General features: G+C 45.3%; 1 protein-coding gene and 1 pseudogene across 3 annotated transcripts in view, besides 2 other annotated features; both read right to left on the bottom strand.

The window, feature by feature from the left end:
* The window catches only part of SMS (spermine synthase), a 54,129-nt gene extending 45,382 nt beyond the window's left edge, over positions 1 to 8,747 (bottom strand). For 2 of the 3 annotated variants that reach the window (NM_004595.5, NM_001258423.2), the window contains exon 1: positions 8,583 to 8,747. In NM_004595.5, coding sequence (NP_004586.2) covers positions 8,583 to 8,631 — 49 coding nt within the window. In that variant the 5' untranslated portion in view covers positions 8,632 to 8,747. Of the gene's footprint in view, positions 1 to 8,088; positions 8,460 to 8,582 lie in introns of those variants that run through there. The other variant, XM_011545568.3, reaches the window with a different exon arrangement.
* Positions 8,065 to 8,294: a silencer, noted in NCBI's record as "silent region_20701". NCBI's record gives its function as "represses an Ori minimal core promoter by ATAC-STARR-seq in GM12878 lymphoblastoid cells {active_cell/tissue: GM12878}" and the evidence as "EXISTENCE:reporter gene assay evidence [ECO:0000049][PMID:35858748]".
* Positions 8,485 to 8,954: a silencer, noted in NCBI's record as "silent region_20700". NCBI's record gives its function as "represses an Ori minimal core promoter by ATAC-STARR-seq in GM12878 lymphoblastoid cells {active_cell/tissue: GM12878}" and the evidence as "EXISTENCE:reporter gene assay evidence [ECO:0000049][PMID:35858748]".
* On the bottom strand, positions 9,319 to 9,977 carry CYTH1P1 (CYTH1 pseudogene 1; annotated as a pseudogene).

The raw sequence follows: 22,408 nt of genomic DNA, 5'->3' as shown, positions 1-22,408 counted from the left end.
TGCCAGCAGAGCTTTCGTTACCCTTCAAGTAAGTTAAATTCACACCTCTTTATAACTGAGCATCTTTATCCACTGGCACAATTTCAAAGTACTCTGCCCTAAGTATTGCAATTAGTGTTAGGTATTTTATGTATCATTTGATACTCTTCCAAACATTTTATTGGACATTCCACCCAACGACACAGTGTGTGGGATTTTAGTATCATTAGCACCTTCATGGAGAGGGAAAAATTAAGGTGTGTGTAAAACTACCCAGAGTCAAGTCAGTTCAGGAATCTAGAACATGCTACTGGCTCTTACCAGCTCCTTTTGAATCTGTGGCTTAGCACGTAAACACATTTATCACCAGTATCACCACTAGCTAGCTCGGTGGCTCCTTCCGGAACACAGATGACAGTGTCAATTTAATGAAACCCAGGCCCACCACACCTCAGGGCCGCAGGGTTGTTTTTCCTGGGGTCTGGAAAAGTGCCTAGCTGTAAGGGTTTTAAAGAGCATTTGTGCATGGTTTACATACGTGGTTCGCAGATTCAATTGAGGAGGTTTTCTGACTTTTCAAAAGAACTGAGTCTATACCATGAAATGGTGGTCGGAGCCACAGTGCACACCAGCAGGCTTAGGTTACAACTGCAGTGAAATAGTGAATTAAAACACCTGGAATATGCAGACTCCAAAAACTAAACTAAGAACTTTATTGACGTTTTTAAACAGATGCTAGTAACTTTATAACTAATCCTTATCTGTGAAAGGTTAGCATAACCATGGTGATCGCAATTATAAAGCCCATAATCTCCAATCTTCTGGGTATGAAATCCAAAATCAAAAGCTCTAACTTTTTAAAGCTATTAGAGAACACAGCATTTTAATCTTTATCTCCTGAGAAGGTAGCTAAGGCCTGAAACTACCAATTCAAACAAAACGGAGTAAATTACATACTAAGGGGATGAGAAGATTCCCAATTGGTAACTCCTCCACTGCAAATGCAAAAGTGACTTTCTTAAAAAAAAAAAAAAAAAGACACATTGACTGACTACTGGTTATTAAATTAGAATGTCTCATGCGGGGCTTCAGATTACTTGAAAAAGTACCCCTCTCTTGTTAGCCAGGATGGGGGTCACTCCTAGCGCCTTGATTATGGAGTCAATTTCTTAAACAGCTGTCATCCCTTCCAAAGCATTTTAAATACTGAACTACCCAATGAGAACTAGATGAGGATTACAGATATGAAGTAGAAACTAAAATCTTACCATATGCTACCTCCATAGGTTTAAGGAAATCGGTATAACTTGGAAACTACAATCTAAAAAGAATCATTGTGGTTTACTCAATTTTTTAATGGCAAGCCCACAAAACTAATTCCCGGCAACATGAGGTTATTCAGCCTGGAGTCATATAGAGCATAACCTGTGCAATTAAGAATCTTTTGCAGAGTTGGGAAAAGAGCATTTAAAAAAAAAATCACAAAGCAAAAGCGCATGCCAAAGGAAGGCAATGCCAACAAGGGATCTCCCGGAAGCAGCCCATAAAATATTTTCAAACACAATTAACGCATGAGAATTCCTATGTAAAGCACACAAAAAAGTCTTCTCCAAAGCTGTCAAATCCTGAGTCCAGGTGCTTCCTGGCTACCGGGAAGCACAAGGAATATACTGGGGGAAGAGGAAAAACCGGGTAGAAATTGACCTTGTATGTGTTGATACAGAGTTTAGACTTCATCCATGGGGTAATAGGGACCCACGGAAGAGTTTTTAAATGGGAAAAGGGACAGGGATCCTGTTGAGTTCCTAATGATCGGGCCCATCCCCAAACGGAGACAAATGGGGAGACTGTAGCCAGGAAACTAAAGTAAGGAACAGGTGATGAGCAACAAATTTGAGAACATTGGCAGGCAGAAGCCACAGGACTTAATGAGACTGACTAGGCTGACTGGTTGGGCTGAGTGAGGTAGGTGTGCCAAAGGTTTCAGACAAGTTTTTGTTGTTGTTGTTTTAAATAAGGAACCTACTAGAGGAGTTCTCATACTTTAATCAGCAACAGAATTACTGTGAGGCAGATGATTAAAAATGCAAAATCCAGGAACTCACCCCCCTCCACCAACTGTGATTCAGTCCGTGTAGAGTAGGGCCCAAGCATGCATTCCCCACTCCCAGTCATCAGCCCCGAAAGGCTGCATTGTTAAAGCAACAGCGTCTGTGCCTGCGGTGTTATCACAATGGGGGATTAAAGTGTAGTGGGACAGGATAATAATGCTGAAGGAGCGGGAGGAAGGAAGCTTTCTCTACTCTTGAGAAAGCTAGATGCAATCTGAACTACATTGTTTAGGTTTTATTATTTAGACAGTTATAGCTATTTAAAACACACAAAGAAGACATGCTTCCACCAGAAGGCAGCTCAAATACAGGGGAGCGTGGGAGCTGGTTAAAAAGAGCGATGGTTCAGGAAATCAGGGAGGGAAGGTCACCTCAAACCACAGGCTCAGTTCAGTAGGAAGCAATGACCAAGCTCCTAACAGAGCCCAGTGCCAACCTTAGAGAAAGACAGGGCCCATCCTCCTTCCCTGCCTAACAATTTGTGGGCATAACTGACACTTCCAAGAAGGACCAGGGAAATTTTGCTGATGATCTGTCATCCAAATTACTGAAATGGTCTAGTATGAATTTAAACCAGGGTTTCTCTGCCTGGGCACTATGGACATTTTGGGCTGTCAATGCCGCAGGGGAGTTGTCCTGTGCGCTGCAGGACGTACTAGATGCTAGTAGCATCTCCCCAGTTGTGACAACCAAAACTGTCTCCAGAAATTGCCAGATGTCACCCACGGAGGGAAGCACCCACATTGAGAATCACCGCCTTAAACTAAGAGGCTTCAGAATCGTGGAAGCAGAACCAGCCTTCCAATCAAACAAACATGGCTTTGAATTCCAGCTCTGCCACTCAAAAAGTAAAAAACCTCAAGATTAGGCCTATTTATTTGTCTTTAAAATGGGGATAACAAGACCTACCTAGGGTTATTTTGAGGATTTACCTAAAATTAATGCACAAAGCACTCAGGGCACTTAGCCCCTGTGGCAATTACTAAGTACAACTTTTATGTTTTCAAATAGTTCAAAGAGCCGCTTTTGTTTTTGAAGAATAACTAGGGACATGTGCCTCCAGCATTGGCCTTGGGTGGAAACCTACACCCCCTAAAAGGAACGGGCTGTCTCAGTCCTCCCCCTCCCCAGCCTGGGGGTCTCAACCTGGGGTCCATGGATGCCCAAGGGGCCAATGGATACAATTCAGGGGGCCTGTGAACTTGAATGGAAAAAAACACACAGACTTATTTTCACTAATAGAAATTTAGCACTTTCTTCAGTTATGCTTGGAGGCCAAAAAATCACACACTGTCAACTACACCTGGTCATTGTCACAAAAAATCAGGTTTTTCTCCTTGCCTAACAATTTGTTAAATATCAATTTTGCTCAGCTCTACTTATGAAACTTACTAGCCTTGCTGCCACATCTTGTTATTTGATGTGTTAATAAAGAAGCACATGAGCTGGGCGCGGTGGCTCACACCTGTAATCCCAGCACTTTGAGAGGCCAATGCGGGTGGATCATGAGGTCAGGAGTTCGAGACCAGCCTGGCCAACATGGCGAAACCCCATCTCTACCAAAAATACAAAAATTAGCCGGGTGTGGTGCCGCGTGCCTGTAATCCCAGCTACTCTGGAGGCTGAGACAGGAGAATAGCTTGAACCTGGGAGGCAGAGGTTACACTGAGATCGTGCCATTGCACTCCAGCTCTGGGCGACAGAGCGAGACTGTAGGGGGTGGGGGGGGGGACGGGAAGCAAAGCACATGTTACCATACCACACGGTGGGGGTTTTGTATTTTGAAGATTGGGTTATTTCACGCATCTAAAATTCTTACTCTGAGAAGAGGTGCACAGGCTTCCCTGATGAGGGTCAAGGGTACAAAAGAACCCCCTGCCCCAAACCTTCTCCGCTAAGCCCGTAATTCCCAAGTAGCCTTCTGTTCTTAAATTATTAAACAAGGTTATAGAATTTGTGAATTTGAGCGACACAAATCTCCTTGTGTCCCTGCACAAATCATATAGCAATGGTCCAAATGACAGACCTAACAGTATCTGCCACGTTTCTGAATTCTGGACCATCCTCATAATTCTACAAGGTAAATGAGCATCTCACTTTCCCCTAATGGACATGAACCAGCATTCCACCTTTACCATAACATAAACTTGGTCTATTTAATCAGCGTGTACCAAATATCTACCATGTACCAGAGCTGTCTCCAGGATACAGACCCTGGTGGAGGTCTGCCTTCAAAAGATACGCCCAGCCCAGGGGAAAAAAATGGACATAGGATTGCTAGACCTTTTCAGAGCTGGCTGGCCTGTTAGAGACCTTCCACTCCAACATGGCAAGAAGAGGTTACAGCAGCTCACTCACCACTGTTTTTGTGTGCGGGTTTTGCTTTTTTGACACACAGTCTCTCTGTCGCCCAGGCTGGAGTGCAGTGGCACAATCTGGGCTCAGCGTAACCTCCACCTCCCTCGTTCAAGCCATTCTCTTGCCTCAGCCTCCAGAGTAGCTGGGACTACAGACACAGGCCACCAACACCCGGCTGATTTTTGTATTTTTAGTAGAGATAGGGTTTCATCATGTTGGCCAGGCTGATCTCAAACTCCCGTCCTCAGGTGATCTGCCCACCTCAGCCTCCCAAAGTGCTGGGATTACAGGCATGAGCCACTACGCCTGGCCCTTGTTTTGTTTTTGAGAGAGTTTCACGCCACTGTCCAGGCTGGAGTGCAGTCTCCACTTCCTGGGCTCAGGGGATCCTCCCGCCTCAGCCTCCCAACTAGCTGGGACTACAGGTGCAGAAAACTCACCACACCTGGCTAATTTTTTTTCTTTTTTTTTTTTTTTTTTTTTTTGTAGAGACAGGTTTTTCCCATGTTGCCCAGGCTGGTCTTGAACTCTTGGGCTCAAGCGCTTCGCCTCCCAGAGTGCTGGAATTACAGGCATGCGGCATCGCGCCGGGCCTCTCACTCACTCTCTGGATACCCAGGCATCCTGCCTAGCACATAGGGCTAGGAACAGATCACATTTCCTCCACCAACTCAGATATGCCTAAACTATCTGAACATGGGACAAGTTTATTCCTGTTAGCCTCAGGCTAAGTCACAAAATGTTTTTCGGGCTCAAGAGTCCTTATAGTCCAATACTTCACTTACAAGATGACCACAGATGAGTTGTTTTTTTAAAAGCAAAAATAAAAATTTCCTGGGTTACACCTCATCAGCCACAACACTAAACCAGCACCACCAAGCCCAACCTACAGTTGCTCTTGGTGGTCTGGTGGCTGCTGCGTTCCCAACACAGTAACAACATCATAACTAAGTGGTTCAAGTTTAATTCCACTAAAATCACATCATGGAACTGGAACATTAGAAAGGATTACTGACAAACGGGGAAAAGAACATGAATCCAGGCTCCACAGGCATTTGACTCACCCTTGAGTCACATCCAATATTCACATGCCAAGAGTAATGCCTTTTGACTCATTATCAATTAAGTGTTTCTGGAGACCTCACAAGTCGATTTTTCACCAAGTTCCCCTTACTAAAAACTAAGTGAACTTAGATCCCAATCTAGCCAGGATCTCTTTATTTTTCAAATGTGGATACTGACAGGACGATGTGCTTCACCCCAAATAAAGTGATGGAAGAGAATGCAATATGAATCGGAGTTCTTACGCCCAGAACACTTGTAATGACTCAAGGTCTGACAGATGCATACATACACACATTCCCCACCCCCCCACACACACGTAATAGTTCTTTCTAGAATGTTCGCCTTGCCATCAAAGCTTTCTCATCTTTAAGAACAGACTGGGAATTAAAATATTAACAGCTTATGTTTCATCTTTCCCTCTTAAGAACGTTCTATTCTGATCTATACACGTCTTTATCGTCAATCTTTTTACTTCCTCTTTGCACAACTAAATTAAGATGCCACTTCCACACCTTTCCAACTTCAAAAACGTCAGTTTCTCCTCCTCCCTCCCACACGATACATCCATGGTTCTCCTGGACAGTGTCAGCCCCAAGTGTTAAAATTCTCTCACTTTTTCTTCATTCGCTCTTTTCCCACTTTAACAAAACAACAAAAACATCCTATTGTGAACCAGCACTTCAAGAGACTAAATCTAAATTTGGCCAAGGAGGTTTAAGGACAAAGGGAAGTGCCAGAGTCTTTGGGCTCCATGCTGAGATCACCCTCCTTAAAGCATAAAAGAAAACCCATGGACACACCGGCACGGTGGCTCATGCCTGTAATCCCAGCCCTTTGGGAGGCTGAGGCAGGCGGATCGCTTGAGGCCAGGAGTTTGAGACCAGCCTGGCCAACGTGGTGAAACCCTGTCTCTACTTTAAACAACAACAAAAAAAATTAGCTGGGCGTGGTGGCTCGAGTCTGTAATCCCGGCTACTTGGTAGGCTGAGACACAAGAATTGTTTGAACCCAGGAGATGGAAGTTGCAGTGAGCCGAGATCGCACCACTGCACTCCAACCTGGGCGACAGAGTGAGACTCCATCTCAGAATTAAAAAAAAAAAAAAAAAAAAAAGTTAAGAAAATCCATGGACGATAAATACAGGTGAGTGTTCACAAGGTGCTCACAACAGGGACACTTCCCAGACTCACCCCTTACTAGCTGGGTGACCCTAATACACTATTTCTCCTCACCGCTAAATTCAGTATGCTAGAGCTTTCATTAACCATTCAGCCCTAAGGCTGGCAGGGTTATTAATGAAACCTTGGCTCTTCAGCTCCACCACTCAAGCACCATTTCATCTCTAGCAGTCTCCATGCCCTACCATCCTCACCTAAGAAATGTGGGAACTAAAATTAACATGCTTTGTTTTCTCTAAGTCACTTCAGACCACCTAAATACACTGACATTGCTTAAAAACCCTACAGTGTGCTCCACAGCTACCCCCTTAAGAGTAAAAGCCCGAAGAGGTGTACACTTTTTTTTTTCTTTTTAATGGACAGGGAAGGCTCAGAAAGGTTAACATAAACCCAAGGCCACACGCAGAGCCCATCAGGAAGAAGCCAGACTCAAACCCAGGTGTTGCTCCAAATCCTCAGTCTTCACTAGATCTTGTGCCTTCGGAGATCCTTTAAATTTGCGGGAGAAAATGCAAAGTGAGTACTCAGAAATTCAGAAAGAAAGGAACAGTGTTAAAAATGGTAAGAGAAAAGCCTGCTCTATCCAATTCGAGGAAAACAGTGGGAAAAGCAAGGTATGAGCGAGACACTCCAAGTGGAACCTATGGGAAGTGCAGATTCAAGTCTGCGGCAGTCACAGGTTTAAAAGCCACCAGAAAAAGAAAGGGCAGTTCTATCCTTCCCGCGACTCCCACCCCCCACGACAGAGGCACCCCGAGAAAAGAAGCCTGCAAATTATCCTTCCCCTTCAAATTTCCTGCACACAGTTCCGACTTTAGCAGGCCTCTCTCTTCTGGTCGGGTTTTTTTTTTTTTTTTTTTTTTTTTTTTTTTTTTTTTTTGAGACAGGGTCTTGCTCTGTCGCCCAGGCTGGAGTGCAATGGCGCGATCTTGGCTCACTGCAACCTCCGCCTCCCAGGTTCAAGCGATTGTCCTGCCTCAGCCTCCCGAGTAGCTGGGATTACAGGCGCGTGCCACCACGCCCGGCTAATTTTTGTATTTTTAGAAGAGACGGGGTTTCACCATGTTGGCTAGGCTGGTCTCGAACTCCTGACCTCGTGATCCGCCCGCCTCGGCCTCCCAAAGTGCTAGGATTACAGGCGTGAGCCACCGCGCCCGGCCGGCTGTCTTTTGATAGCTCCCCGATTCGGGGTGTAAACGATTCCCGCGCCCAGACCTCATGCCTCCCCACCCCCAATAATAATAATCGTTTCCTTTTCCCGTCCCCCAGTTCCTTTCCGGGGGATCCGTCTCCTACGCAGTCGGCTGAGAATTCTGCAAGCGCTGCGCGTCCGCAGACCTTTCCCCAGCCCCAGCTCCCTACGAGGGGAAACCCCCGCCCCCAAGAGGGAAATTTACCCGCCTGCAAGAACAGGAAAAGGTCGCGCGGGCAGCCCCGCTCGGCGCACGCCCCCAGCCCGGGCTCGCCGCGCGGGTCACGCCTCGCTCCGCCGCAGTCCCTGCAACCCTCGTCCCATGGGGGGTCCGCCCGCGCCCGGCAGCCCGGGGACTCCCCGAGCGGGAGCGCGAAGGCGGCGAGCCCGCGTGGGAGCGCGGGTGGACGGCCAGGGCCCGGAAGGGCGGCGCGGCCGGCGGGCACCCGGGACTGCCCCTGCAGGCCCCGAGCTGCGGCCGGGACGGAGCGCGGAGCCAGCAGGAGCGCGGCCTCCGCCCGACCGCCGGTGCACGCGGCCCCGCAGCGCGCTGTGCGTGGCAGTCCGGGAGAGTGCGGCGCCGCGCGGGCCGCCCGCATTGTTCGGCCCGCGGCGCACGCCACGCCCGACCCCCGCCCCAGCCCGCCAGGCGGCGGGAGCGGCGGGGATGGCCACGCAGGTGGCGGCGGGCGCCCTCACCTTTGGCGCCGAGCATGAAGTCGAGCGTGCTGTGCCGTGCTGCTGCCATAGTGAGGCGAGGCCCTGTGCCATGCCTGGGGGAGCAGCCGCGGGAGACTGGGGGGCCGCGCGGCGTGTCAGGCTGCGGCCGGCTGGGAGTGTGCTGCGCCCGGGGAGGCCAGGACTAGGAGGTGGGAGGGGCCGCCGGGAGCGACCCGGGGCGCGGGGGCGGGGCCGGTCCCGCTCCGGGAGGGAGGAAGCCGGGACGCCTCCAGCCCCGAACTTGGAGCGCCGGGTGTGAGGCCTCGCTAATGGTGGAAACGTGGGCGCCGTGCTCCCCGGCGTGCGTCACCAATGGCCGCGCCCTGCTCCAAGGCTCGCGCGGCCGCTCCCGCCATCCGTTAGGTCACCTTAGGTTTAAACAGCGCAGCAGGATTTCCGGGGGGCCCACCCCTTACGCCTCCCCACACACCTCTCCCCAAGCCAAGGCCCCTCTTATTTCCTGGCGGAGTCGGGAAAATCAAATGATGAGATCCACCCCTGTAGTCTAAGAGTACTGCCTGCCTTTTCTTACAATGCTGCAGTTAAACCCATTCGGATTATTACCATTATTAGCAAGGGTCTGCTTTGCATTTGAGGACTGAATAGAAAGCGCTTGGGCATTTACGTTATCCACAGTTTCACGCAAAATAAAATGAGGGAGAAGCCAGTAAGAGGACAGCATTGTTGTTAATATTGAATTAGGAAACTGCAGACTCCGGAGTTGCTTGTCTAGCAGGACTCCTCCATCACTGGCGCCTCTATTAATGGCAATAGCCTTTGCGGGGGGCTTATTTTTGACACTGGGGTTATGGCTGCTGTTCAACAAAATGATGGCAAAGGGGAGACAGCATGAGCGTCTGAACTAAAATTATTCTTTACTGCACTGACAATATCCCTGGGCAAATGCCTCCATCATCGTGTCAGGCTTTTGTGCCTCTCACGGCCACAGGAATTGCTGTAATGGTTAGACAAAATTTAAATCCATGAACTCATGTACCTCCACAAAAGCAACGAAGAACCTGGATATTAAACTCACCTCTTCCCCCAGGCAACGGCTGTTTTGCTGAGTTCTTCACCTTTCTACAAAAACTGGGCAGTGTCTTCACAAGTGTTCAACAAGGGTCTGTTGAACAGACCTTTCTCTGTTAAGAACTGAATCTTTTTCTAGTACCTGCATTAATTTTTGTCTACCCATGGCCACCTGTTTGTTATTCTGCATGTCTTACCATTCTTCTCTGTGTCCTAGATTCTCAATTTTGTTAGCTATTGCAATTCTCATCCTTCAGTTAGCTATGTCAGTCTGCAGCTCCTCTTTCTTCCTGGGATGTTCTTCACTTCTTGCCATTCCCCTGGAGTCAGGTCACTGACAATAGAGTTGTCTTTGTCCTGCATGTTGCAGGAGCAGTAGGGCTCCATGGGCCTCAGGTGTGCCTTTCCCCACTCAGCACCAGTGTGGGCCTCACATCAAAAGGGCCCTGCACTTGGTTTAATTCTCTGCTGTTGCCATCTTGAAATTCTTAACTCTCGAACAAGGGGCCCCGTGTTTTTATTTTGCCCTTGGCCTGCAAACTGCGTAGCTGGTTATGCTCTGCAGCTTGTGTCTGGCAGCACAGGTGGCCCTCGGGCTCGGGCTTGAAATCTCATCCCCAGCACTTGTGCCTCGCCTTGTTTCCTGCAAGGTACAAAGCAGAGATGAAAAACCTGAGATGCTTTTGCTTAACTTATCAGACAGCCATAGCAAAAGTGGAGTTTAACAAATGTTTCATTGGCTGGGCATGGCAGCTCATGCCTGTAATCCCAACACTTCGGGAGGCCGAGGTAGGCGGATTGCTTGAGGCCAGGAGTTGGAGACCAGCCTGGTCAACATGGCAAAATCCCGTCTCTACCTAAAATACAAAAATTAGCTGGGCTTGGTGGTGCACACCTGTAATCCCAACTACTCGGGAGGCTGAGCTATGAGAATCACTTGAACCTAGGAAGTGGAGGTTGCAGTGAGCCGCGATCATGCCACTGCACTCCAGACTGGGCAACAGAGCGAGACAGTCTCAAAAAACGAAAAATAAAAAACCACAACAAATGCTTCATGATGTTAGCACAGCATCAGAGTTAAATTGGCCTCAATATGGAACCTACATTGTTGGGATAACATTAGGAGTTATTGCAAGGATGTTCCCAATGCACGTCCTACTTACCAGTAACATAATCCTGCTCGAGGCCTCTTTTAAACACCTCCAATTGGGCCGTGAGTACCTATTTGGATTCAGGAACATGTTCTCATTACCTGAGTTTTATAATCTAGGCCCTTGGCTTCCAGGCCTGTTTCAGGACTAATAATCATTTTGTTTGTGGTAATTGTGTTATAGTCGACCAGTGGATCCTGTGCAGAGTCTTAAATACTGCACAGCTGTTATCAGACACTTCAGCAACTCGTCCTGCAACAAAAGACTCAGCAGAGACTAGATTTACCCTAGTCCGACTAGAGACTGCATTCTTGAAACAGTCTTGCCAATGGTGAAAATGTGGATATCGTGGATTCATGTCCTGCAGCCTGCCGCTGGACTACTCTTGCCCGAAAAGGAAGACTGAGAAAGAGTAAAGCAGTCCTGCCTTCACGGAGCTGGCCAGGCACTCACAGCTGTGCCTGGATGTCCTGTTGAACAGAAACAACTCCCGAAAACACCAACATCAGGCAAGGCCACTCTATGACCAGGGTGGGACAAAACACAAACAAGACCACTCTGTAATCATGTCTGAATATAGAGAAAACATAAGCCTTGTCCAAACCACAAATATGACCAAACACCACCTCTCCCCCCAGTCCTGGCTAATATGGGTGACTGCTACTTCTTTACCAACCACAGCTGTAGCCTGGCTCTAATTTTCTCTGCTTCTAGAGGACATTTATTAAACCATCCAATCACAGAATTCCCCCCACCCCAGCCCCCTGCACCAGCTCCCAATCCAGAGCAACACCTGGCTTCCCTAAACGCTCCCCAAAACCACCTGACACAGTGTCATGCCAGATGCCTATTAACTTCAGTAGGGAAGGCACCAGGTTCAAGCGGCCAAAGAAGAGACTCAAAGACATAGAGTTTATTGGTAACTTACATACGGGGACGATCCAGTGGCAGTGGGCTCAACAGGAGAACACCCTCCCCCTAACAACCTGGCAACCTTCATTTACCCTAAACTAAGGGCCTCAATCCGCTTCAGGACCCACACTGCTTTGGCCAGGCCAGAGGTTCAGATGTTCCCCATAGATAAGGAATGACTCTCTGGTTGGCCATGCTGGGAACTCCAAACACACATTCAGGTGCACTTGACATACAGGGTCATTCTCACCTGACAGGTTATTGCTGTCAGGTGCCTCTAACATACCCAGGTGCAAATCCTCTAAGTCATCCTTTCTCGCACCCTCTTATTGAGAGCCCCTGCCCCATCACTGCCCCTATTCCCATGGTATGTGTTTTCCCCGCCTGCAAGGAGAAGAAAACTGCTTGTTCAACTCTAGGTGTGTTCCTGGGAGTGTGTGACTACAGTGCAGTGACAATATAGACAACAAGATGAAGTCCAGGCTTAGGGTGAGAGCTTTGGTGACCCACTTAGCAAAATGCTGGTACTAAGTATTAGTCCTATCCCTACCTCCCTTTCAAATGGGCCCACTTGCTTCTGAGCAGACAGGCCAAGCTGGACATCAGCAACAGAGTTTCTAAAAATTCAGAGAAAGAGCCACATTGTCCTACACAGTGAGCAAGTGTGTACTGGGAAGAAGGAAGTCAAAAGCAGAAAAGAGCCCTCTGTTAAAAAGGAGGAGGTGGTGGTGGTGGTGGTGGTGGCAGTGGCTGGGTAGCTGAGGTGCTAATTGGAAATATCCATAGGCTATTGGCCTGCACTGTAAGGCCACCCATCATGCTGCTGTCCCAAACTTTCATTGCAGGGCAGGTGAGGGAGCTGATGGGGGTTGGCAGTCCTTAATAGCTGCCCTGGTCATCAAGCCTTTTGTTTCTTTTTTTTTTTTAACATAATTTTTTTTTCACCAGTTCATTTGGGACCCTTGGAGACATTCTGCCTCCCTGGCCCCTGTGTGCCGCTGTGGTGAAATCACTTCCCCTCTTAAAAACTTGGCATTAGCTATTAGGGTTAGAGTGGCTGACAAAGATCTGGATCACTCCCCGCCATTTTTTCAGATGAATGTGGGACTCACCCAGCTATTTTAACACTATTTAAGATTTTGATTAAAAAGAGTATGTAAGGCCAGGCGTGGTGGCTCACGCCTGTAATCCCAGCATTTTGGGAGGCCAAGGCGGGCAGATCATCTGAGGTCAGGAGTTCAAGACCAGCCTGACCAACATGGTGAAATCCCATCTCTACTAAAAACACAAAAATTAGCCAGGCGTGGTGGCAGGCACCAGTAATCCCAGCTACTCAGGACGCTGAAATGGGAGGATCGCTTGAACCGGGAGACACAGGTTGCAGTGAGCCAAGATCGGGCCACTGCACCCCAGCCTGGGTGACAGAGTGAGACTCCATCTCAAAAAAAAAAAAAAAAGAAAAAAAGTATGTAAGCAATAGGGGGCTAGGATCTTTACAGCGATTCTCAATTTCAGCTGCACACTGGAATCACCTTGGGAGCTTTAAACATACTGCCACTGCCTGGGGCTAGCCCTAGTGTCTAATGAAATTGGCCCCAGGTACAGCCTGGGCATTGGGATTGTAAATAAATAAATAAATAAATAAATAAATAAATACCCAGGAGATTCCAGTGTAAAGCCAAGAGAACCACTGTCAAATCAAAAAGCGGTTTGTATCACAATAGATCTCACTCCACGTCCACAAGGATGGCTATATGTGAGTAAATAAAGAAACACATTTTAAAAGCCAGAAAATAAGTGTTGGTAAGGATGCGGAGAAATTGGATCCCTCGTACATTGCTGGCGGGAATGTAAAACGGTGCAGCTGCTGTGGACAATAGTTTGGCGGTTTATTGAAAGGTGAAACAGAGTAACTGTATGATCTAGCAACTCCACTCTTGGGTATATACACAAAAGAATTGAAAACAGGTGTTCAAACAAAAACACGAATGTTTATAGCAACATTATTCCGTCATTCACAATACTCAAAGGTGGAAACAATCCAAATGTCCATCAATAGATGAATGGATAAACAAAATGTAGTAGAGCCATACAATGGAATATTATCTAGCCATGAAAAGAATGAAGTCCTGATGTATACTACAACATGGATGAACCTCAGAAACATCATGCCAAGGTAAAGAAGCCAGACACAAAAAACCATATGTTGTATGATTCCATTTATATGAATGTCCAGAATAGGTAAATCCATAGAGACAGGAAGCGGGGGGGACAGGGGAAGTGACTGCTGTATAGGTAAGGGTTTCCTTTTGGGGTGACGATAATGTCTCGGAACTAGATGTGATGGTTGCACAACGTTGTGAATGTGCTAAATGCCGCTGAATTGTTCACTTTCAAGTGGCTAATTCGATGTTATTTCATTTTAATTCAATTAAAAAAAAAAGAAGCAGCTTATAGTCACACCAACTTTGAAAGGTAAAGCTGTATAGTAATTTTTAATAAGCAGACTTCATCACCCAAAAATTTCAGGTAAATGCCTAATGGGAGGGAATTGAAGTGAGGTGTTGGCCAAAAAAAAAGCAAAAATGAAGGCTGCTGGGAAACCAGCTACCTGGTTGTGGTTTTCCCAGAGATGTGTGGACAGGTGGGGATAATCCTATAACCCAGAGGCCTAGCACTTTACAAGTGTTACAAGTGTTACAAGTGCCTGTGGAGACTGAAAGAAACGTTTTTCTCTGTCTTGGCCCCAAGACCACCACTACCCCTAAGTTCAGGTCTTCTCTCATTTCACCACAAAGTTTAAGTCAAAAAATTCTTTTTTTTTTTTTTTTTTTTTTTCTTGAGACAGGATCTTGCTCTGTCACCCAGGCTGGAGTGCAGTGGTGCGATCTTGGCTCACTGCAGCCTCAAACTCCTGAGTTCAATTGATCCTCCCACCTCAGCCTCCCAAGTAGCTGGCACTACAAGCACGCACCACCATGCCAGGCTAATTTTGTTTATTTTCTGTAGAGACGAAGTCTCACTATCTTGCCCAGGCTGGTCTGGAACTCCTAGGCTTGAGATCTTCCCACCTTGGCCTCCCAACGATGCTGGGATTACAGATGTGAGCCATCATGACTGGGCAAGTAAAAAAATTCCAAATATTTGATGGCCTAAGAGGAAAGACATCTCACCAGTGAAGCCTATAGAATGCCCTGGGGTAAATATCTTTCTTGGGCCACAAGGAAGGTGAGGCCAGCTCCTCTAACACTTACCTGCTTTGATACCTTCTTCAGCTTCCAAAACAAAATTATTTCATGCTTACAATAGTTCTAAGAGGTAGGTGAAATTATCCTCATTTAACATATGGGTCAACTGAGGCACAAAGAGGTTAGGTAGCTAGAAAGTTGGAGACCCAGGACTTGAACCCAAGCGGGTGGCTCAGGAGTCAGGCTGTTTACCCCCTCACCTTGCTGACTCTGATCGCCCTGCCTAGTTGTCCCAAAGTGTCTCCACTTTTCTTAGGACTCCACGAACCTCAGGTGTATGAGTCTGCTTACCTCCCACCAGTAGGCACCCCCGTCCCCATCAATGTGTGTGCGATTGGAGGAGGGTGTCCTCTCTCCCTGCTCTCTGAAGCTATTCCCTAATTCCACCAAACAACTTCTGGGGTGAAATTCCTACCCCTACCTATTACTAGCTGTGTGACAGTGTACAGGTTCATCAGCCTCTCTGTGCTTCCTTCCCTCTCTCTAAAATGGAGCTAATAATTACCTCATCGAGGTAATAAACACCTCATCAAGTTATTGTGAGAATTAAATGAATAGATACCTGGCAAACACTGAGGGCAGTGTCTGACACATGACTAGTATTCATTAAATAGCAGCTCCATTGAAGATTTTGTTATGCAGGTGTCACACTCCTTCAGGACTCCTTACTTTTTACGTATCTTTATTTCTATTTTTTGTTTGTTTGTTTCTTGAGACAGAGTCTCCTCTGTCACCCAGGCTAGAGTGCAGTGGCATGATCTTGGCTCACTGCAACCTCCGCCTCCCGAGTTCAAGCGATTCTCTGGCCTCAGCCCCAGAGTAGTTGGGATTACAGATGCACACCACCATGCCTGGCTAATTTTTGTATTTTAGGTAGAGATGGGTTTTCACCATGTTGGCCAGGCTGGTCTTGAACTCCTGACCTCAAGTGATCCACCCACCTCAGCCTCCCAAAGTGCTTGGGATTACAGGCATGAGCCACCGCACCTGGCCTACTTAACATGTATTTGATACAACTTAATAGTCAGGGGCAGTCTCAGAAGCTGCTTGCAGTGGCATTTGATGTGAAGCACCATTCTGCACGGTGGCAGCACCCTGTCTCTTCACCTGCTAAATCTTGGGTACCTGGAACACCCTCCTTTCTCCAGTGGAAAAATCCATACAGGAGCATTCAAGCAGGCCCAGTTCAAGTGGCGCCCCCTGGCCCAGGCAGAGCTGCGCACTCATTCGCTCACCTCCGTGTTTCCACAGCACAGTGTTCAGCCTGCCAGTGAAAAACAGCCCAACTTGTATTAATGGTACCATGTTAGCTCCCTGCCAGCTCCCCAAGAACTTGACCTGTTTCTCTCTCGCCAACACTCCTTGCTTAATGGGACTACAGTCCAAAACGTTTGAGGCCAAGGTTAGGAGCTTACTAGTTAAATAAACTAGAAAGGGACCAGAACCCTGGTGTCCTGGTTCCCAGACCAGAGCTCTTTTCATTAAACTAAACTTTTCATGAAATTGTCCTCACGTCTAAATTCCGTTATTGAATACCTAGGATAGACCACGGCATTTGTAAAGTACTATGAGTTATTTATATGTGTTATTTCTAACCTTCCAAACCCCGCAAGGTTCATTCTCTCATTTAAATACAGTATTGAGACACCGAGGTCAAGTGACTTGCTCAAGGCCTCATGCCAGTCTGTGGCAGAGTGAGGCTTGGCTTCAGGGTCAGTCTGACTCAGTCAGTAGAATTTCTAGTCTGTCATCATGTTGCTACTCAGTACAGGAAATGAGCATCGAAAAAAGCCCTGAATGGCTCTTTTAAAACACACTCATTCTACATGCAGACAACTGTTATTTTAAGGAAAGTCTAGAAGAAAAAGAGAGATTACATTTTGGCATGCAAAGGCAAAACAATAAATATTCTTTTTTCCTGTTCCTGGATCCCATTTCAACGTCTTCAAAGCAAGTAAATTTATGCGTGTTGACCCAACTCTGATTTTCAAATCTTTTGAAACTCCATTTTCAACTTCTTCCCCGTGGCACAACCAGTCCCATGACTGCCCTCTGTCAGACTCTTGAGTATCTGCCTAAAATCATTACGTAGCGATCACTGCTAGGATTCACTCCTCTCCACTAAGCCATATGTCTCTTCTGGTTATATTGTATTGCCTGGCATATTACAATGTTAGTTATAAAGGCCTTGTACTTTAAGGATATATTCATATCAGTATTTTAAAAATATGTTCATTTGGCCAGGCACGGTGGCTCACGCCCAGCACTTTGGGAGGCTAAGGTGGACGGACTGCTTGAGCCCTTGAGTTTGAGACCAGCCTGGGTAACATAGAAAAACCGGGCATCTACAAAAAATACAAAAAGTAGCCAGGCGTGGTGGCATGGGCCTGTAGTCCCAGCTACTTGGGAGGTTGAAGTGGGAGGACTGCTTGAGCCCAGGAGGCTCCAGTGAGCCATGATTGTGTGACTGCACTCCAGCCTGAGTGACAGAGTGAGACCCTGTTTCAAGACATATATATATATATATATATATATATACACACACACACACATATATATGTACATTGTGTCTGGAACTTTGTCCTTTAATAATCTTAAATTGCATTTTATCAAGCTTATTTACAAATGTATAGTTTTCTCATTTTTCTCTGAAAGTAATAGATTTTGTTTCAGTGTAAGTATACTTGTTGACAGTAAAACTCCACAAGTTTTTTAAACTTGCTTCTTCTTCAAAAAAAAAAAAGCAACCTAGGTTATTGCTCTTTGGTTATTTGCAATTAATCAAAAATAATTTAAAAGCCTCTAGTTATGCTTGTGTAAAAAAGAAAATTTTGCTGCAATGCAAGATGCCTTCCAAATTGAAAAAATAAAGCTAAAAGAACTTTCCTTTGCTATGACAAAGCAATGGTGTGATGATCACCAGTTGGGCCAAACAGACACCATGTGCCTTCTGCTGTGATGCACTGAGAACTCAACATCCTTTCTGTAATCTTCTTGCCAAAAATGCATAACCTGAATCTAATCATGGCAAAATATCAGACAAATTCAAACTAAGGGAACTTCCACAAAATTAATAGTCTATGCTCTTCACAAAATGTCAAGGTAAAAAAATACAAAGAAAGGGTAAGGAACTGTTCTAGATGAAAAGAGATTATAGAGATGTGACAACTAAATCACAATGTCCTAGACCAGAAAAAAAAAAAACCATAAAAGCCATAAAAGCCATTATTGGGACAGTTGACCAAAGCAGAGGAAGGACTGTGGATTAGACAAGAGCATTGTGTCAATGTTAAATTTCTTGACTTTGATCAGTGTACTGTGGTTATGTAAGAGAATGTCCCTGTTCTTAGGAATTACACACCGAAGCATTTTGTATAAAGGGGCAATATGTTTCCAATTTACTTTCACATGGTTTGAGGGAAAAATATGCATGTACAAATAAAAAGAGAGAGAAAGAGACTGATAATGCAAATGGAGCAAAATGTCAACAATTGTCAAAGCTGGGTAAAGGTATATATACAAAATTTTTTGTACTTTTTTTGCAACATTTTGTGCACGCCTTTAAAACTATATCAAAATTAAAGGTTATCAAAAAACAATAGATGTATAGAAGATAAAAGAATATTACAAAAGAAAAAGAAAAAAAAAGCAATGCTCCTGAAATGTACATGACACAGCAGAGTCTAAGGCATGTTTAAATCTTTTGTTAATGGGCAAGTTTGACTTAAGAGAAACATTCTACATTTTAAAGTGCAGGGTTGAGGAGAAAAAAGGAAGGTTGCCTTTTTTATACTTTCAGCCCATTGTTCACAGACTCAGTTTAAAAAATAACAACAAAAAACTAACACATTCCTCCCTTGGGAGATTCATGCCCCATTCAGCCACTCTAGCAGGCCTCTAGGTCACCCTCCCACCTTCATTGATGACTTTGATGCAGCCGTTACCTCAATGCCTGCCTCATCCTGGGTAGAGTTTTGGCTTTTCTGTGCATGAGGCAGCCAGTGCCCTATTTCAATTCTTTGACCTCCTCAGCACCAATCATTCTGGATGCACTTGTGGGTGAGGAGATCGAGGGTGGGAGGGAGGAAGTGGAGGAGTTAGGAGGAGGAGGCAGCTGGTGTAAAGGGAATGAGGCCACTCACAATATGTGTGCTATACCCGTTCTGTGACCACATCAGGACCTTCAGTCCCCTGACCACCTCATTTCCTCCTCACTTGATCCCTCACCTTCTCATTTTAGTTCTCTCCCCATGGTTGGTCACATCAGTCACATCATGTCTGATGTGACTTCAACTCTTCAATCCCTCATCCTTTGACACTGCAAACTCCCAACCCTGGACCAATCCAGCCTTTTGCCTTCTCCTGTCCTTCTCAATTGTTGTTCAGGATAATGGAAAACCTCACACTGGTGCTGACTCATATATACTCTGTGTGTGTGTGTGTGTGTGTGTGTGTGTGTGTGTGTGTGTGTGTTCTTCAATGCAATTGGGCTTTCATCCCGTTCAGCAATCCCTGTTGACCTTTTCTCAGTTCTTTCATTACTTGATCTTTGTTTTTATAATAGATTGTTGAAACCTCCTCTTCCTGTGGCTTCCATGACATCACTACCTTCTGGTTCCCCCTGCTTCTTCAATTTGATGGTGCCTTCACCAACTTCTTCCTGTCTCCATGTTTTTTCTGTAAATGTTGAGCTTCTCACAGCTTCCATCCTTGGCACGTCTTCTCTCTTTTCCCTGTACCAATGGTTCTCAAATCTGGCTGCATATTAGAATCAACTGGAAAGCTTTAAAAGATTGTCATGCTTGGGTCTCATCCCTGATTTGTCTGTGGTATGTCCCAGGCATTGGGTTATTTTTAAATGCCTCCAAGTGATTCTAAGGTGTCGGCAAGGTGGAAAACCTCTTTCTCCAGGTGATCTCATCTATGCCTACAGTTCTAGCCACCTGTATGCAGATTCCCAAATCTCCATCCCTGGCTCCTACTCCTTCCCCTGAGCTTTGGACCTATTTATTGTTCCTCTTTACCCTCTACAATTTCAAAGTCAAATGGCCAAATTGAACTCTTTACCTTCTTCCCCTGCTTGGTCTTTCTTGCGCAATCTCAAACTTGAGACATTTACACGCTCATAAATAGCGAATAAGAACAGACTCTGTACCACAGCCCACGGAGCTGACCACATCAGACACTTTGGACTCATTCTTGATTCCTTTCCTTCATTTCCCACACCCTATCACCAAATCTTCCTTTCCCACACCAAATCTTCCTTAAATTCATCTCATCATTTCCCCCATGCCCTCTTTCTAATTATCTAAATTTGGGCCTTTATTCTTTCTATCCTGTACAATAATAATTGGCTCCTTGCAATTCATGCCTTGCTTTCTTCAACTGTTACTTTTCCAGAATACAAATCTAATAATGCAACAACTCCCTCGGTAAAACTCTTCAGTGGCTGCCAGTTGCCTACAGAATAAAGATCAAATGCTACATGTGGCTTAAAGACATCTCATGATCTAGCTTTAGCCTGCCTTTTGTCACTCAACTCCTATTATTCCTCCAAAGACACAGGACTCTAAACTTGCTAAGTTGCTGTAAGTCTTAGACATAGCATGGTCTTTCTCTTTTTTTTGAGACGGAGTCTCACTCTGTTGCCCAGGCTGGAGTGCAAGTGGCACAGTCTCGGCTCACTGCAACCTACGCCTCCTGGGTTCAAGCGATTCTCCTGCCTCAGCCTCCCGAGTAGCTGGGATTACAGGTGCCTGCCACCATGCCCGGCTAATTTTTTGTATTTTTAGCAGAGATGGGGTTTCACCATTTTGGCCAGGCTGGTCTCAAACTCCTGACCTCGTGATCCGCCTGCCTCGGCCTCCCAAAGTGCTGGGATTACAGGCGTGAGCCACCGTGCCCGGCCAGCATGGTCTTTCATGAGCTAATAATGTTAAGAAAAGTTACCCAAAATTCAGAAATAAGATTACATATTAAGTAATAAAAAGATTACTCTCTGGTCTTTCTGTGTCCCGCTGGAGTATTATTTAAAAAGTAAATCTACGCTGCCTAATGCAGAGCAGTGCTGTCCAATTGAGCCACAGATACAATTTTAAGTTTACTAGTAGCCACATTAAAAAATAGGTAGAAAGAAGCCAGATAAGGCCAGGCGCGGTGGTTCACACCTGTAATCCCAGCACTTTGAGAGTCTGAGGCAGGTGGATCACTTGAGGTCAGGAGTTTGAGACCAGCCCTGCCAACACGGTGAAACCCCGTCTCTACTAAAAACACAAAAATTAGCTGGGTGCGATGGTGCACGCTTGTAATCCCAGCTACTCAAGAGGCTGAGGCAGGAGAATTGGTTGAACCCGGGAGGTGGAGGTTGCAGTGAGTTGAGATCGTGCCACTGCACTCCAGCCTGGGTGACAGAGTGAGACTCCATCTCAAAAAAAAAAAAAAAAAGAAAAAGAAAAAGAAAAAAAGAAACCAGATAGATTGCTGTTAATAATGCATAAGATTTTACCTAATGTATTTAAAATATTATTCTTTCAATATGTAAAAACATTGTTAATGAGATATTTTAGATTGTCTTTTTCATCCTAAGCCTTTGAAATACAATGAGTATTTTACACTCACAGCACATCTTCAGATGCTAGATTTTCACGGGAAGTGCTTCTTCTGTATTTAGGTTTCATAAAATTTGCATTTGGAAGAAAGGTGGATTCACATATCCAAGGTGTTTTAACATACCTAAAAGTTTTCCTGTAACTGAATTGAGTAGCAAAAATTATTTTCCTTTAATATTTGCATCCTCATTGACAAAACTAGCTTATTTTTTTAGAAGAAGTGATTTTACTTTGAAGAGAAAGGATGTCAGTTTCAAAATCATGTCTGTCCAAGTTAAGTAAATTCACTAATTTGTGTCAACTCCATATTATTAACATTGAATTCAAAGGGGTATTGCATGATTTGAGAAGCAGTTCTAAGTTTATCAATATAAACAAAGCATTCTTTAAAATTTTCTATAGTTTTTGCAGCCAATTTACATAACTGTCTATTAATAAAGTCTTATGCATATTTGATTCATGTTAGAAAAAGGTATAAAATCATTATTATCGACTTGTATCACAAAAAAGTTCAATTTCAACATTAATCCTTTAACTGTCTAGCTAAGTCACAAATAAGCTTTTCCTTTTCTTGGAGTTTTAAATTTATCTTGTTCCTATGCAGTGTGATATCCGTGAGAAAACACATAAATCACATTGCTATTTTTTTTCTTTGATTGCTGTATATTTGGCAAGCACTCCTTTTGTTTCAAGAAAATTTGAATTGGAGTTAACAGCTTGGTAAAACTCTATGGCTTAACCAATGAGCACTGGCAATGAACACAAGAGTAAATTCATTGTCTTTAATTTCTTTCAACAGTTCTTGAAACTGGTGATGAGTCACACACAGCATTTGCACGTATATGCTGAAAAATGTT

This window comes from Homo sapiens, chromosome X (genome assembly GCF_000001405.40).
Source record: "Homo sapiens chromosome X, GRCh38.p14 Primary Assembly".
Lineage (NCBI taxonomy): Eukaryota > Metazoa > Chordata > Mammalia > Primates > Hominidae > Homo > Homo sapiens.
The sequence above is the reverse complement of the archived record's forward strand: the minus strand, read 5'-3'. Positions and strand labels throughout refer to the sequence as shown.